Source organism: Homo sapiens, chromosome 7 (assembly GCF_000001405.40).
Source record: "Homo sapiens chromosome 7, GRCh38.p14 Primary Assembly".
Lineage (NCBI taxonomy): Eukaryota > Metazoa > Chordata > Mammalia > Primates > Hominidae > Homo > Homo sapiens.
Window position 1 is genome coordinate 131,094,458 of NC_000007.14, and position 15,165 is coordinate 131,109,622.

General features: G+C 45.7%; 1 long non-coding RNA gene across 10 annotated transcripts in view, besides 6 other annotated features; it reads right to left on the bottom strand.

The window, feature by feature from the left end:
* The window catches only part of LINC-PINT (long intergenic non-protein coding RNA, p53 induced transcript), a 232,364-nt gene that overhangs the window by 216,896 nt on the left and 303 nt on the right, over window positions 1-15,165 (bottom strand). For 9 of the 10 annotated variants that reach the window (NR_170176.1, NR_170175.1, NR_109855.1 and 6 more), the window contains exon 2: window positions 13,263-14,346. This is a non-coding gene — a long non-coding RNA (long intergenic non-protein coding RNA, p53 induced transcript). Of the gene's footprint in view, window positions 1-12,087; window positions 12,161-12,285; window positions 12,574-13,262; window positions 14,347-15,165 lie in introns of those variants that run through there. The other variant, NR_024153.2, reaches the window with a different exon arrangement.
* Window positions 10,195-10,244: an enhancer, noted in NCBI's record as "active region_26668". NCBI's record gives its function as "activates an Ori minimal core promoter by ATAC-STARR-seq in GM12878 lymphoblastoid cells {active_cell/tissue: GM12878}" and the evidence as "EXISTENCE:reporter gene assay evidence [ECO:0000049][PMID:35858748]".
* Window positions 11,259-11,358: a silencer, noted in NCBI's record as "silent region_18653". NCBI's record gives its function as "represses an Ori minimal core promoter by ATAC-STARR-seq in GM12878 lymphoblastoid cells {active_cell/tissue: GM12878}" and the evidence as "EXISTENCE:reporter gene assay evidence [ECO:0000049][PMID:35858748]".
* Window positions 11,509-11,978: a silencer, noted in NCBI's record as "silent region_18654". NCBI's record gives its function as "represses an Ori minimal core promoter by ATAC-STARR-seq in GM12878 lymphoblastoid cells {active_cell/tissue: GM12878}" and the evidence as "EXISTENCE:reporter gene assay evidence [ECO:0000049][PMID:35858748]".
* Window positions 13,357-13,406: a silencer, noted in NCBI's record as "silent region_18655". NCBI's record gives its function as "represses an Ori minimal core promoter by ATAC-STARR-seq in GM12878 lymphoblastoid cells {active_cell/tissue: GM12878}" and the evidence as "EXISTENCE:reporter gene assay evidence [ECO:0000049][PMID:35858748]".
* Window positions 13,427-13,486: a silencer, noted in NCBI's record as "silent region_18656". NCBI's record gives its function as "represses an Ori minimal core promoter by ATAC-STARR-seq in GM12878 lymphoblastoid cells {active_cell/tissue: GM12878}" and the evidence as "EXISTENCE:reporter gene assay evidence [ECO:0000049][PMID:35858748]".
* Window positions 13,469-14,320: an enhancer, noted in NCBI's record as "H3K27ac-H3K4me1 hESC enhancer chr7:130792685-130793536 (GRCh37/hg19 assembly coordinates)". NCBI's record gives its function as "activates a minimal SCP1, AML or CMV promoter by ChIP-STARR-seq in naive H9 embryonic stem cells {active_cell/tissue: H9 hESC(naive)}" and the evidence as "EXISTENCE:reporter gene assay evidence [ECO:0000049][PMID:30033119]".

The following is a 15,165-nucleotide window of genomic DNA, read 5'->3' on the forward strand; positions in this document are numbered from 1 at the left end:
GAGAAGAAACGGAAAAGAACCAAAAAAGACAAAAAAGGAAGGAAACTGAGTGAGTAAAGAACGCAGGAAAAAACGACAATAAACAGGGAGGAAAAGAATGGCCCACAACTGGCTTGCTGATATGCCAGGGCCAGGGTGGGCCTGCATCCACAAAACACTCAGACAGATTCCAGACGTATTCAGGTTTTTTGTTTGTTTTGTTTAATTTTGGACAGAAAGTTTACCCAGAGGGGACATGTTTCCTTGTGCCTGCTCCTAGGCTCCCTGTTGAGGACTAGGAAGATTCCAATGCATGAAAAGGAACACAGAGTCCACAGTCCAGAATACTCTAGATGAGGGGCCCCCAAGTCCCGGGCTACAGATGGGTACTGGTCTGTGGCCTGTTAGGAACTGGACCACGCAGCAGGAGGTGTGCAGTGGACTAGCAAGCAAAGCTTCATCTGTATTTACAGCCGCACCCCATCACTCGCATCACCGCCTGAGCTCCGCCTCCTGTCAGATCACCAGCAGCGTTGGATTCTCATAAGAGCACCAACCCTACTGTGAACTGCACATGCGAGGGATCTAGGCTGCGGGTTCCTTACGAGAGTCTAATGCCTGACGGCCTGTCATTGTCTCCCATCATTCCGAGATGGGACCATCTAGTTACAGGAAAACAAGCTCTGGGCTCCCACTGATACTACATTATGGTGAGTTGTATAATTACTTCATTATATATGACAATGTAATAATAATAGAAATAAAGTGCACAATAAATGGAATGCGCTTGAATCAACCTGAAACCATCCCCCACCCCACCCATCCGTGGAAAAATTATCTTCCACAAACCAGTCCCTGGTGCCAAAAAGATTGGAGACTGCTGCCCTAGATGACTGACCTGCAATGTCCAAGACCCAACATGTTCCTGAGGAGTAATCTTACCAGAGCTTACAGCTCTTACTCCAAAAGAGCACGATGATCAACAAACACGTTTTAGGAAGTAAGATGAGTATTTATGCAATTACAGTTCAGTGCTTTAAAACAACTGTTACCCTCCAAAAACAACAATAAATGTGGTCAGAATGCATCCATTGCCAATGGATTCTCGGGAGCCACTGTGGTTTCCCTCCACAATGCAGGACCGCTTTCTGGGGTAAGTGGCTGGACCACTCAGACCAAGAATGAGCCGAGGACGTGCCGCCACTGTTTCCCACAGAAGAGCAAATGTTCTTCAGTTATTGCAAGGCATGATTTCTCATACAGATGATCACTTTTAAAACTTTAGAGCAATTCTGTTGTTTGGATATTTCTGTTGTTTAGAATCCCAAATGATCTTTTATTTTTTAAAAAAATATGTATCTCAAAAACATACTGCAGATGATATGAAATGACTAAACAGGGTACTGATTAAGTCTATAAAGTCATTGTTCCAAACTGCTTGTTAGGCAGTAACAAAGATATATGGCAAAGAACAAACCCCTATGTTTCTTTTTCAGAAGAATTAAATTAGTAGCAGAAAGAATCTCAATTTAGAACCCTTTAAAAGGGGGAGCAAAGGGGGATGTTATATCTTTTTCCATAAAAATAAGAGACGTGTAAGCAGAGTAACTTTTTGTAAGCTAACTAAGAGGCATAAAACAAACTACAGATTTCAAAGATAAAATCCAAAATAAACAACATTTAAAAAAAAAACTTTCATTTGCTATTAAATACCTGAATTTTCAGGCAATACACGCTAAAAATGGAAGAGTCACCACAAATTATTTTGGAAGTGAGCCCATAAAAAGTAGGTATTATAAAGTTCTAAAAAGCTAAAAAATAGGAATAGCTAAAGGAATATGAATGACACTAAGGACAAAGGATTAAATAAATGTTCTTAGCATAGCAATAACTAATCTCTCTGGAAACAAACAAAAAAGATAAACACAGATTTTAAAAAATAAACAATATGTGCAATGAATGCATGACACATCAATACAAAAGCAGACAGCAAAACAACTGTCAGTGGCCTTGACAATGGACAGATAAGTAGCTTGGTGAACATAACAAAAAGATTCAGTACTAACAAAAATGTCCCTAGAAATAGGACACTAGCACTTACGGTCACAGGCCATGCACAATTTTGCAAGAGAAAGATCTGAAGTGGCATTTTTTATGAGTTGTATAAGAATTAACAGAGGCATGAAGCAGGTTCCCAGAAACTCTCCTAGTGGTTTAAATACCATCACCGAAAGAACAACTTTAGAAGGCCACTGCCTCCTTCATGGAGATGAAAAGCAGCCGAATATTTCACACCTGTGTCAGCAATTTTTCCAAAGTGTAATCCAGGTTCAATATTCGGGTATTCTAACGTAGATATCACAATAAAGACAAGGGTGCCCTCCTGACCCATCCCTAACTCCTGAAGAAGAGGGCGGGCCACAAGGCAGGCAATCTAATTTAAGGAGTCCAAGATCGTTTTACCTGGGGACTCAAAGGCATCACCCCTACACTGAGACCAGTCTTGATTACTGGGTACCTTTCAAAATGCTGAAGTTTCCTGTGAGGGTCTACAACCATACCACCGTATGAATAATCTCAATCACAGCATTTTAGGGCTGGAAAGACCGTTCTCCATCCAACCTCTCATTTCAGATGAGCGGAGACTCAAATCTCTCACAGGGTTCCATAGCTAGTTGGAACCAGAAATCCAGCAGAAATACTGTAAGCAAGCTTGTCCAAGATGTGGTCCAGGACAGCTTTGAATGTGGCTCAACACAAATTCACAAACTTTCTTAAAACGCTATGAGATTTTTTTTGCAATTTTTTTTTTTTTTAGCTCATCAGCTATCGTTAGTGTCCGTGTATTTTACGTGTGGCCCAAGACAGTTCTTCTTGTTCCAGTGTGGCCCAGGGAAGCCAAAAGATTGGACACTCCTGGAGGTGCAGCACAGTATCTAACACTACCTCAATACTTTTTCCACCGAACTACGTAAGACCAGCCACAGCCCAGAAAAAGAACTTCCCACAGGAAAAGGAGGAAGAGGAAAATGTGGAGGAAATCTACGAGGAGGGGATTGGCCAACCGCAAGTCAGCATGGGATGCTGGACACCTGGCCGTGCGAGAAACAGAAACGTGAGAAGTTGGAAGAAAGGAGCATAAAGAGATGGGAGAAGGCAAAGGCAGACACTGCCACTTAAGCACTAGTCTAGTAAGACTAGTACTTAATAAAGTACAAGAAAAAAGAACGGTCATTAACATCCTAACTCTCTAAAGCACAGGAGCCTTTTTAAAGGGCTTGAGGAAGTGGCAGAGACAAACTCCAAGAAAGCCTGGAGGAGGGGATCACACAGCAGCTCCCTGATTCACTAATTCAGAGGTGGTCCCAGCATCTTGTTAAGCAGACTGCCAACCCCAGCCTCACACTGTCAAGTCTGAAGGATTTGAAAGTTTCACAGATTTAACTACGAAGATTATGTCACAGATACATATTTGAGTCAAGAAATGAGTACAGATCTGGGTAGCAAATCACACGTAGCTCTTTTCAAAGAGAAAGAGGTGATCAAAATCTAAAGCTGGGTCCATGAAACATAGCTCAAATCAATTACGCGTATGCCAAATCAACTCTTAAGATTTTAAGGCTCAATCCTCTTATAAAAGCGGTGAGACAATATACAATTTCAAGATAAAACTAAAACTGGTAGTGTGAAAAGCAGAGAAGTCTCATGGTCTCAACCCAGCTTCGTGGTCTGCGCTATACAAATGATTTGTTTCCTAATCCATAAAGCACGCCTAGTAATAACGGTCATGTGTGCCTTCCAGAAACTTGATTTAAACAAGGTAACGATCATAAAGCAATCTAAAAATGTAAGCATTGCATGAATTCTGGGCATAACTTTGGAAAGGCATTTGACATGAGTCAAATAATAGCACCTGGCGATATTGCGAAGTATTCACCAGAAACAAAAAGGAAAACTTATTCATTTATTATTTTCTAACAAAGAACCCTGTGCTATTGACTCATCTTGACATAGTTAATATGTCTTTTAAAAGTTTCAGGACATTTAAAAACTTACAACATTCCATTTTTGTCTTCCCATTCCCTGCTCACCAATTTCTTCTATTTTATTTCTCTGCTTTCAGGTAAAGTTATATATATTTTCCTCAAAGTCTTAACTTTTCTTTTCTCTCCAATACATTTAGTCATATTAGAATATACTGTCAAACCTCACTTGGACTCAACTTGAGTCCATCTGATTCTCAGCACCTGGGAGTCTGGTTTAACATGGAATGCTTCCAGAGCGCCACCTGTCCTCTTAGAATGCCTTGGAATCTCCACCAACGCCTCCCCAAGATCTTCCCTCTCCCATAAACATACACCCTAAGAACGGTGTGCTTGCTATGAAAGGGCTGCTTGAAGACAAGTCTCCTAGTAACCCCACTCCCTTTCCTACCAGATTCCAGCCCCACAGTCCCCTCATTTAGAAACTACAGAGCCACCACTGTTCTCCAAGGTCATCAAAATCAGGAATGACTGTGCCCTGACGTACTCATCCATGCCCCGATGGACATTTCCTTCCCGCAACCATGATTCTTCCGTGAGGCTGTTATCTTTAGGGGATGTCCAAGTTAACGCTGTCACAGTCTATTATGGACCCAAATCCGTGGAGTTTTGTCTAGAAAAAACTGTGTCTCATGAAAATCATTTTATCTAGTGAGTCCACAACTATATAATGTGCTGCATTGTACTCTGTAGCTGCATATTAAGAGAAGACCACATGCCATGTCATGCACCTGTAGTCCCAGCTACTCAGAAGGCTGAGGTGGGGGGATTAGTTGAGCCCAGGAGTTCAAGGGCAGTCTAGGCAATCCAGCGAGACTCCATTTCTAAAACTAAATAGTTCAGGCACAGTAGCTCATTCCTGTAATCCCAGCACTTTGGGAGGCTGGGGCGGGAGGATGGCTTGAACCCAGCAGTTCGAGACCAGCCTGTGCAACAAGGCAAGATCCCATCTCTAGAAAAACATTTTTTTTTATTTAGCTGGGCGTGGTGGCACACATCTGCAGTCCCAGCTACTCAGGAGGTTGAGGAGGGAGGATCACTTGAGCCCAGGAGGTTGAGACTGCAATGAGCTATGATTGTGCCACTGCACTCCAGCCTGGGTGACAGAGTGAGACCATTTCTAAATAAATAAAAGGCACTTGGTTAGATTTAATACAACATTTAGGTTTAAGGAGTAGCAAATAGTTTTGTCATTTAGTAACATCGGAAATACTTTAATATATTTTAACTGGGGATTTCTAATTTAGCTAAGTAGGAATACCCAATCTGAGTTTTAACAGACTCATTATTTTTGGAAAATATATGGAGTTCTCAAGAAATTCTCAAAATAAAATTAATCTAATCCATTTTAAACTTTTACAACTCAGTCTGCCATACAGCAATTTTTAAATGACATAATCCTTTAGAAATCAAGCAGTGATCAGTGCTCAACTTGAAAAGTGATGGGGGTGGGGGGAACAGGCAAAAAAAAAAAAAATCACAGAACTTTAGAAGATACTGTCTATCCCAACGGCTCTCAAAGTTTGGCCCTCTGACCAGCAACGTCAGCATTACCTGGAAACTTGTAAGAAATATACATTAGTGGGCCCACCCTAGACCTTCTGAGTCAGAAACTCTGGGGTGCAGCCCAATAATGTGTGTTCTTCAGTGATTCTGATACACACCAAAGTTTGAGAACCAGAGTTCAATCCAACCACTCCACTGATGAGAAAGAAGTGAAGCCAGTAACATCCTCAAACTCGAACAAGTTGGTGACCTTCAAAATGATTCTTAAACTATATACCTGAATCCAAGTAGTCCCATAGGATCTTCTAGGCAAAAATACATCCTGATCTTTTGTAGCATTAATTCTAATATCATTACTATCTACTCAGATACAGGCAAGTATTTTTGTCATGAGTAATTTACATTTAATACCTAAAAAAGAAGACTTGGCCAAGCGCAGTGGCTCATGCCTGTCAACCAACACTTTGGGAGGCCGAGGGGGTGGGTCACTGGAGCCTAGGAGTTCAAGTCAACCCTGGGCAACATAGCAAAACACTGTCTCTACAAACAAACAAACAAAAAACACAAATTTGCCAGGCACGGTAGCATGTGCCTGTAGTACCAGCTCCTGGGGAGGCTGAGGTGGGAAGATTGCTTGAGGCCAGGAGGTTAAGGCTGCAGTAAGTTGTGATTATGCCACTGCACTCCAGACCCCGTCTTGAAAAAGATAAATAAAAAATGTTTTAAATAAAAAAGACTTCACATGATTGACCTCGCTACAAAAATGACAACTCAAATCTCACAGGCTCTTTCTGTGTGGTTGGTTGGGTTAACTTTTGTTGCTATTAGCAGTGGTGGGTTTTGTCTTGTTATGCTCGTGTTTTGGTTTGGTTTCAAGGGCAACAGCAGGAATTGACGAACACGTGGTTGATACTTTGTTTTCGATTCGGGGGCTTTTATATTTTTGCCTCACCCAAAAGGTTCATACCAAAGGTATTTGAAAAGTAAGGACTAAAGGACTAGGAATTGCTTAAAAGAGAAGTCTTCCCATTTTATCTTGGAATGTATTCTATGACTTTTTTTTAAGACAACAGATTTGTATTTCCAATTGTGTTTGACTTACTCTATGATAAAATTACTTTTCATTTGTGGAACATGTAGTGGCAGAATGATAGGAAGACAACATTTATCCTAGGAACAAGCTGTTGTGGATGAAGACAGGCCTAAAATCCAAACACACATAGCAGCACAAAGTAGGTTAAGTCTGATGCATAGTATAGATAGCAGAGTATGTTTATCGCCTCTTAAAGGTACTAAACCAAATATTCGGCTACATCATCAACCCCCAATATAGGATCTACTACATGAAATAAAATCTACAATTTTTGGTCTTAGTGCTCTTATTCTAAACAGATGTTTGATGTGTCTGATACTATATATATATTTTTTTTTTCAAAGCCTAGTAGGGGTTATCTACACAATTAAACATTTTCTATTTACATTTTAAATATCCCATTTGACAAGCTTGTAACTTGGGTGCTAGGATTACCATAGAAAAAAAATCACAGAATACATGAGATTTGGAAGCTGAAGAAAGAAATGTTTCCATTCCTGTTTCTCATGGTTAAGTTGTTTTGTCAATGTCCTGCCACACTAGAGGTAATATCTTCAGTCCTTTTTTCAGACTCCATTAACATACACAATTACCAAACAAACTTGGATTTTACAACCCAAACTTTCTAACATAGTTCAGCGCATGATTTTATTTTATTTTATTTCCTCTGAAGAAGTTATCATGGGCCAGGTGCCATGGCTCACGCCTGTAATCCCAGCACTTCGGGAGGCCGAGGTAGGGAGATCACCTGAGGCCAGGAGTTCGAGACCAGCCTGACCAACGTGGTGAAATCCCATCTCTACTAAAAATACAAAAATTAGCCGGGCGTGGTGGCGCACACCTGTAATCCCAGCTACTAGGGAGGCTGAAGCAGGAGAATCTCTTGAACCTGGGAGGCAGAGGCTGCAATGAGCTGAGATCGTGCCACTGCCCTCCAGCCTAGGCAACAGAGCGAGACTCCAACTCAAAAAAAAAAAAAAGAAGTTATCATGGATGACTGCACAATGCAATAGAAACAACTACTTCCATTTGATGTATACTTCCAACTCTCTCTGTATGACCTGAGCACCAAATCTTCTTGTGACTTTATTTTTCAATCTGTCATCAAATAAGTGTAACAATTCCTGCTACATATCTTACCAGAAAGAAATCAGAGTCACAGAGCTAACAATAGTACCCCTGGAGAGACTGCGTTCCTTGGAAGAACTATAAAGCCACTGGTGTAGTTACTCGTTACTTCTCTTCTCAGCTCCATGTTACAGCCTCTGAAGCTAAACTGGAAGGCTTAAGTTAGTTGAACATTCATTCATTCATTCAAAACATATTTATGAGCACTGATAGGTGTCAAGTAGCATATTAGGCCTTGGAGATCAATGGTCAGCAAGACAAGCACAGTTCCTTCCCCTCACAATGCATCTCAGAAAAGTACTGATTCAACTCATAGGACTTTCATTTAGTGTATACACCAAGGGCTCACATCCATTTGTAAATAATTACTCATAATCATAATTACTAATAATCACTCTACTCTGCTCCTGAAAAAGGAAGACCACACGCACTACATGAAAAGCCACAGAACACACGAATGCTCCATAATATGAAGGCCCCACATAGGCCAAAAATATCACCCACTAAGCACCTTATAATCTATGAACGGGAAGCATGGTGTTAAGCCCTAGAAGATGACTGCAGACTTTTAAAGGCAGAATACCTTAGCCTAAATGATGACCTGTCAATTACAGGACATATCTTCTGTGACTGCAGACTTTTAAAGGCAGAATACCTTAGCCTAAATGATGACCTGTCAATTACAGACATATCTTCTGTAACTGTGCCATCCAATACAGTAGCCATTAGCAGCTATTTACATTTATCAATTAGAAATTCAATTCTGGCTAGGCGCAGTGGCTCACACCTGTAATCCCAGCACTTTGGGAGGCCGAGGCGGGCAGATTGCTTGAGCCCAGGAGTTCAAAACCAGCCTGGGCAACATGGCGAAATCCCACCCCTACTAAAAACACAAAAATAGCCAGGCATGGTGGCAGGCCCCTGTAATCCCAGCTACTCGGGAGGGCTAAGGTGGGAGGATCGCTTCAGCCTGGGAAGCAGAGGTTGCAGTGGGCCAAGATTGCACCACTGCACTCCAGCCTTGGTGACAGAACAACACCGTCTCAAAAAAAAAAAAAAAAGAAAGAAAGAAAAGAAAAGAAATTCAGTTCGTCAGTCACACTTAATGTGCTCAATAGCCACAAGTGGCTAGTGGCTACCACACTGGATAACACAAATTTATAAATCATTTCCATCCTCTCCAAAAGCTCTATGGGACAGTGCTGCTCTACAAATACCTCTGTAATACTCAATCTGAAAATTACAGCAATGAAATGTGATGAAGCACCTGTGCTCTGTTATGGCACATCAAAGCATGTCCACTGGTAATGTAGTACTAGTTCTTCCTTCCCAAGTAAATCGAAAAACAAAAACAACCTTGGGCATCTCCTCCAGCATATATTAGTAACCAAGAAAGTTCACACCGTCCAATCGGCCAGTGAAGGATGAAATTCGCAAACAAGTGAAAAACTGATATTTTGCCCCTTCCTATTTCTTTGATAATGTGTTACTATTATTGTGTATTTTCTGTGTAAGTTTTGTCTTGGGGTGCTTTCAGCTGTGTTTTTAGCCTGGTAGCAAGCAGCAGAGAAGGAGGTGAGGACAGTTCAGAATGAAGATGAGTGATTCAGGAAAACACCGACACAGATAATGCAACTTAAATGGAAGTAAATGTAATTGCGACCAATGCAATAAACTTAAGTGCTTACTGTGTGCCAGTGATGTGCAGATAAACAAGTCACCATTCTCACCTTTGAGGTGCCCAATATGTAACAAATACAATGAGATATGCTGTGATATAATGCAATAAGACAAGCATATATATAATGCAGAGATGACGCAGGGAGGGTATTTTTTAAATGGTTTCTGAGGAGAAATCAGGGAACATTTCCTGAAGGAGGTATCCAAGAAGCAGAAGAGCAAACTAAGCAAAGCCATGCGCAGGAATCCCAAGTGGTTTGGCAATGCTGGTGAAAAATGTGTTTCGTGGTAAGGAGGATGGGGGTGGACAATGGGAGGAGGGAGATGGGGCTAGAGAGCTATTTCCACACCAGACCACAGATACTCACGTTCCAGTCAGGTTTGCCTGAGTAGGTCTATAAGCCTTCCTCATCAAAACTGCAAGTAATATGAAAACCAATCCCTAAAGTATGCTAAATAATATACCCATGCCTGCCATAGAGGTAACAATATTTGACAGCAATCAACAGGAATATAAAGTTCTTTGTGACACGGTACCTCTTAATAATACATACTGGTCACAAATACACTGTAGCTAGTATCATTTGTTTTCAGGGAGAAACCTCTGTTTACTATGAGTTTTCTTTGGAATCTCTGTACAGAAAATACTAATGAAATGGACTACTCCCACATCTAAACGTCCCACCAACAGTTTATCTGACCAGGAGACAAATCAAACAAATTAAGGGGAGAAAAGAGATGTAACGGCAAAGTTTCTCTACTCCAGACTAGTTGTTTTTTTTTTTCTCCAAAATGCTAATGGCAGAACTTCTGCTACTCTGTACTGTACCGCACCTCTGGGTACATCCAGCTGTGACCACACCACAACTGTATCGCATCCAGCAACCTAAAGTACTCTTGTGGTTGCTCATGTAAATACTTGGAAAATATCTGCCTCTTCCGGACTCTCCCCTTCACATTATAGAAATGCTCAAGTCTCAAAAACAAAACAAGAAACTTCCAGAGAACCTATTCACTTCAAATTACGGAGATCCCCTCTCTCCTTGATCCACAATAAACTTCTGGAAAAGGTCGCCTACAGGCCTTAAAGAATCACCACGATTTTCCTCCCCTATACAAGCAAAGCTTTTCAGACAAAAATCTTAACAGTAGAAATGTACCCACATAAACAAGCTGGCCCTCAGGCAAACATTACTACTATTCACACAAACATGGGGCCCTTAGGCAAAGGTACATTTTCCACGAGGCATATGTGACTGTTGAAAGTAGGGGTTTTGAACTCGACCTCCCTAGGTCCTAGTCACAGTAGTCCTCCCTGATTAACTCCGAGCTTCCACTCCTCCTCCAACTATAAAATAGGGGTAACAGTACTTCTACGAGTAGATCCATGTTTGGGGAGCCGCAGTATCTGACACAGAGACCCCACTGAGTGACAGATGAATACGTGTTAGCTATTTTAGCTATTTTTACTATTTTGTCCCTAAATAGATGTGATTTCACAAGTAGCTATTCCATCAAGCTGGTTACTTCTATAAATTCTCACTGCACCAAAATCACTTATGGGGAAGAGGGGGTTAAAAATACACTGTCCAGGCCCTATGTGGATGTGGGTCCAATTGGTCTGGGATTGGGCTGGCGTTAGAATCCTTCTTAAAGCACTCCAGTTGGTTATTACACGCAGCCGGCCTTCAGGAGCACACAGAAGTGTCTACCCGTCCACCGGGATGTACACACCACCTGTAAGGTCCGAGTTCTGAGCCGAGCAGCGCAGGCAGGTCCTCTCTCCTGGACTAGGCTCCCCGAAGCGCTGCGACGACAAACCTAGCACTGCTCGCCGAGAAGCGCCAAGCCCCTCAGCCAGCGCCGGGGCACCCGCGCGGCAGGGCTCCATCGGGGGCCACACGCCCCCTCGCGCGCCCTCCGCGGGCGCAGGCCCCTCCGGCCCGTGTCACCGCGCCCTCGCCTCCCGCGCCCCGGCCCCCTCCCGCCCACGGCACGTGACTCGACACGCGCCAGCTGCACGCGGGCTCCATCAAAACAAAAACAGAGGAGGCCGGCCGGGCGGCGGCGGGCGCGCGCGGGGGCGGCAGAGAGCGGGCGCGCCCCCGCTGCCCGGCGCCGCGACCGCGCCTCCACCGCCCCGGGCACCGCCGGCCGCGCGCCCCGGCAGGCCGGGGGCGGGAGGGCAGAGGGCACCACCCTGTTTACCGCCACGGCCCCGCCCCGCCAGCGCCCGCTCCCGGAAACGGTCTCCCGGGAGAGGGCCGGCGAGTGCGCACCCACCCGCGGCGGGGAACGCCGGCCCTGCGTGGGAGGCGCCCGGCTCCGGCGGCCCGCCGCCCCCGGCTGCTGCGTGTCACCCCCGTCACGACTCTGCTACGCACTTCGCCCCCAGCTTTCAGCTCCGGCGCTTCCGCAGACCCCTCACGTGGCTGCCGCCTCCCTGCCATGGCACTCCCCGGCGACCGGGGCTGCGGCCCCTAGCGCTGCGAGGGATCCCGAGCCTGTGCCCACCCCACCTTGGACGTCACCCTCCTCGGACCACCCAACCCACACCTTCCGCCTAGGGCGGGGCGAGGGGAGGACGGCTACGAGCTGTCAGGAGCCTCCAGCTTTCCCCGTGACGAAGCTCACCCTCGCCCTGATGTCGCCACTCACCCAGCAGCGGGCTGCGAGCTGGAGCAGACGTTAACACCGAGGGAGGACTGAAGGGAACGTCTTGATTTTTCTCCTTAATTTGCCACAGACACAGGGAAAAAAAAAAAAAAACAAAAACAGCAGACGCAGCTCTACCTTTGCGCTGGCTTTAAAGCTTTTAAGCTCCCCACGTCATCCTACCCCATGCAACAGACTTACCGAATAGCAATGCCCACCCCACACACCTGCTAGGTAACTCGCCTTCTGGAAATCGGGGGCCCCACCCACCCCGCCTTCTGGAAACCTGCGCCTGGGGTGGGGTTGAAGAGACACTGTCTGGTATCCTAAAGTCAGAGGGCGTGAGGAGACCGGCGCCCTTCGCCCCACCCAGGCGCGCTGCACCCTCCGGTCCCCGTCTCTAGAGTGCACCAAGGCATCCTGCGTCCCTGCCGGAGAAAAGAGGGACGGGGCCAGAGGCCCGAGTTCCAGGGAGTTGCTGATTCCAGTGGAGAACCGAGACACCGCGTCCTTTCTAATTAATAAGCACGCCACCCCCTACCTCCAACCCCCCCCCCCGCCCCGCCTTTATTTCTTGTTGACAGCAAAGGTGGGGGACGTGGGAGAAAGGCAAGAGTTGTCTCTAGGTTCGGGATGTTGGGCTGCGCGGAGGGAAGAGGTGGGATCTCGAAATGGAAACAGTCCCCCCTTCCTCCCCCCTCCCCTCCTCCTCCTCCTCCTCCTCTTCTTCTGTTTACCTCAAGTTTGAATTTTATCTGCGCAACATTAGCTGGAATGCGGACATTGAAAAAAAAAAAAAAACACTCTCTCAGCCCGGCAGCAGCTCCGGAGGAGCCATGTGGCATCAAGCCACAGCAAAGGGGAAAAAGTGCTCTTAGCAACACAAACATGGCGAAATCGCTCTCACAAGCCGGGTTCCCGCGACAGCCCTACCTTCCCCCGCTCGCCTTCCGAACGTCCTGGCCAGGAACCGCAGACCCCTTCCGGGGGACGGCGAGGGGGCCCCGGGCTGAGCGAGGGTGGGCGCACGGGGCGTGCTAAGGGGAAATTGACTAGCCAGCCGATCAGCTCCGCCGGCAGCGGAGGGGACGCCTTCTTCACGCCCTGAGATCGCAAAGGAGAGCAAAATTCCCATCCCAAAGTCCTGCGGGACCGGCTTCCCCACCCGACGAACTTACCCCAGGGCTGAACGCACGCTGCTTTAGCTCCTTGCCTCGTTCCTTCCTCCCGGGCGCGACGCGAGGTGAAAATGATGCGCACGTAGATTTGTAGAGCGTATTCTTGAGAATTTCCCTGGGATGAATCGGGAGGAGCGGTGGAGACTCCGGAGACAGGTGCCGCGCTGGTCTGGGCTGCCGGCTAAAAGTTGTCCTCCGCGCGGTGGGCGGTGGGGTCCCCGGCCAGGGCCAAGGACCCCGGCTCCCTGCCCCCCGGCGTCGCCCACTTGTCACGCCAGGCTGCTGCGTGCACTCGGCTGCAGGGGAGGTGGCGTAGTTTCTCTTCCTCCCACCTCTTCTCACTCACTTGTTTTTGTAGCCGTGGGCTCCCCTAATGCTTTCCTCTCCACAATGTTGTTTCATTATATCATGTCCATCATGTGACACCAGAGAGGCCTCTCTATGGAAACTTAAAGGGGCTCCCACGTGACTGCAGCAGCAACAACAGCAGCAGGACTGGCGGCGGCGGCCGCAGCGGCGTCCGTACCTCCACCCACCGGGAGCCCCTCGAAGCATCCCGGAGGGGCTTCTGGCGCTGCAGGAGCCCCGATCGGGGAGCCACAGCATCCGGGAGCCGTGGTGTCTGTGCGTGCGTGGAGCCTGTGCTCATGACATAGGAAGCCGAACAGAAGGAGCGTCCTCAAATCCTTTCCTACAGTCACCAAACCCACGCTCTGTTAAAATGACATTTCGTGGCTCCTACTTTGTTTCCCCGGAGAGCAATGAGTTTTCTATCAGGCCTGATTTAGTTTGACAAAAGTCAAAAAGAAAAACTGGATTTGTCCCTCTGCGAGTTCAGTCAGATCGCTGGGAAAACAGAAATGACAAAACAATAATAACAGAAATAGAACCAGGCATTTGATACATAATTACCATCACCACGGCTTTCAAGCTTTCTGGAATTACGTTCCTCCAGTAACTGTTGATGATGCTTGCAGGAGGCAAAATGCAATGCAGTTTTTCTCTTCCGCAGCTATATTAGGGCTTTGTTGCTGACAACAGTGAAAACTTGTTTGTGTCAGGAAGTGAGGTACGGAGATATGACCTGGAAGGTACAGACAAAACCAAAGTGGCAGTTTTTGCATTACTTTTCTGACCACATTCTTTCAAATGGTGACAAGAAGGCGGTCTGCTGTAAAATTCGTGGGGTGTTTGATGGGAAACAAAATAATCAGAAAAACATAATTATCCCTAGCCATACCATACTTGCTAGACGCTAGAAAGTATACATATATGTAATCTCTGTATACATAGAGAAAGCAAAAAGCATGTGCACTTTAATATTTTTGAACCACTAATTTTGTCATCATTTGTACCATTAACAAACACTTGGAAAGACTCACTCAAGTCCAGGGATGTGTGGAAACTCACAATGTTGAGTGCTGTGGGTATTACTGACTCACAGTCCCTTAAAGGGTTTGTACCATAAATCCCAAATTTCTGCCTTAAAGTTTTTACAGACATGGAGATTTTATCCTGTAAATCTAAGCCAGATAGCTATTTCTGGGTTTTTTAGTTCATGCTTTTCCATTTTATAAAGGAAACTGTGTGGATTGGCGGAATCAAGAAAAACTTCGCAAGAAACTGAAGAGTGGGATGGAAGATCTTTTCGTTTGGCCTTGCCTTGACTCTGTCTCTCTCCACCTCATCAGTTTACTTCATCAGCCATGATGAATGAGCTCCATTCCAACCCTTCTAATTCTATAATATCTCTCCCAAGTTTTACCTTCCTATCTCATGCCTAATTCTTTTCATCCCTTTCCTCCTACCTCCCTTGCCTCCCAACTCAGCCCCTTTTCTGCCTGGGGGCTCAGCTCGGGCCTCCCCAAAGACTGTACCCCCCACCCTCCCCTGCAGCTACCCC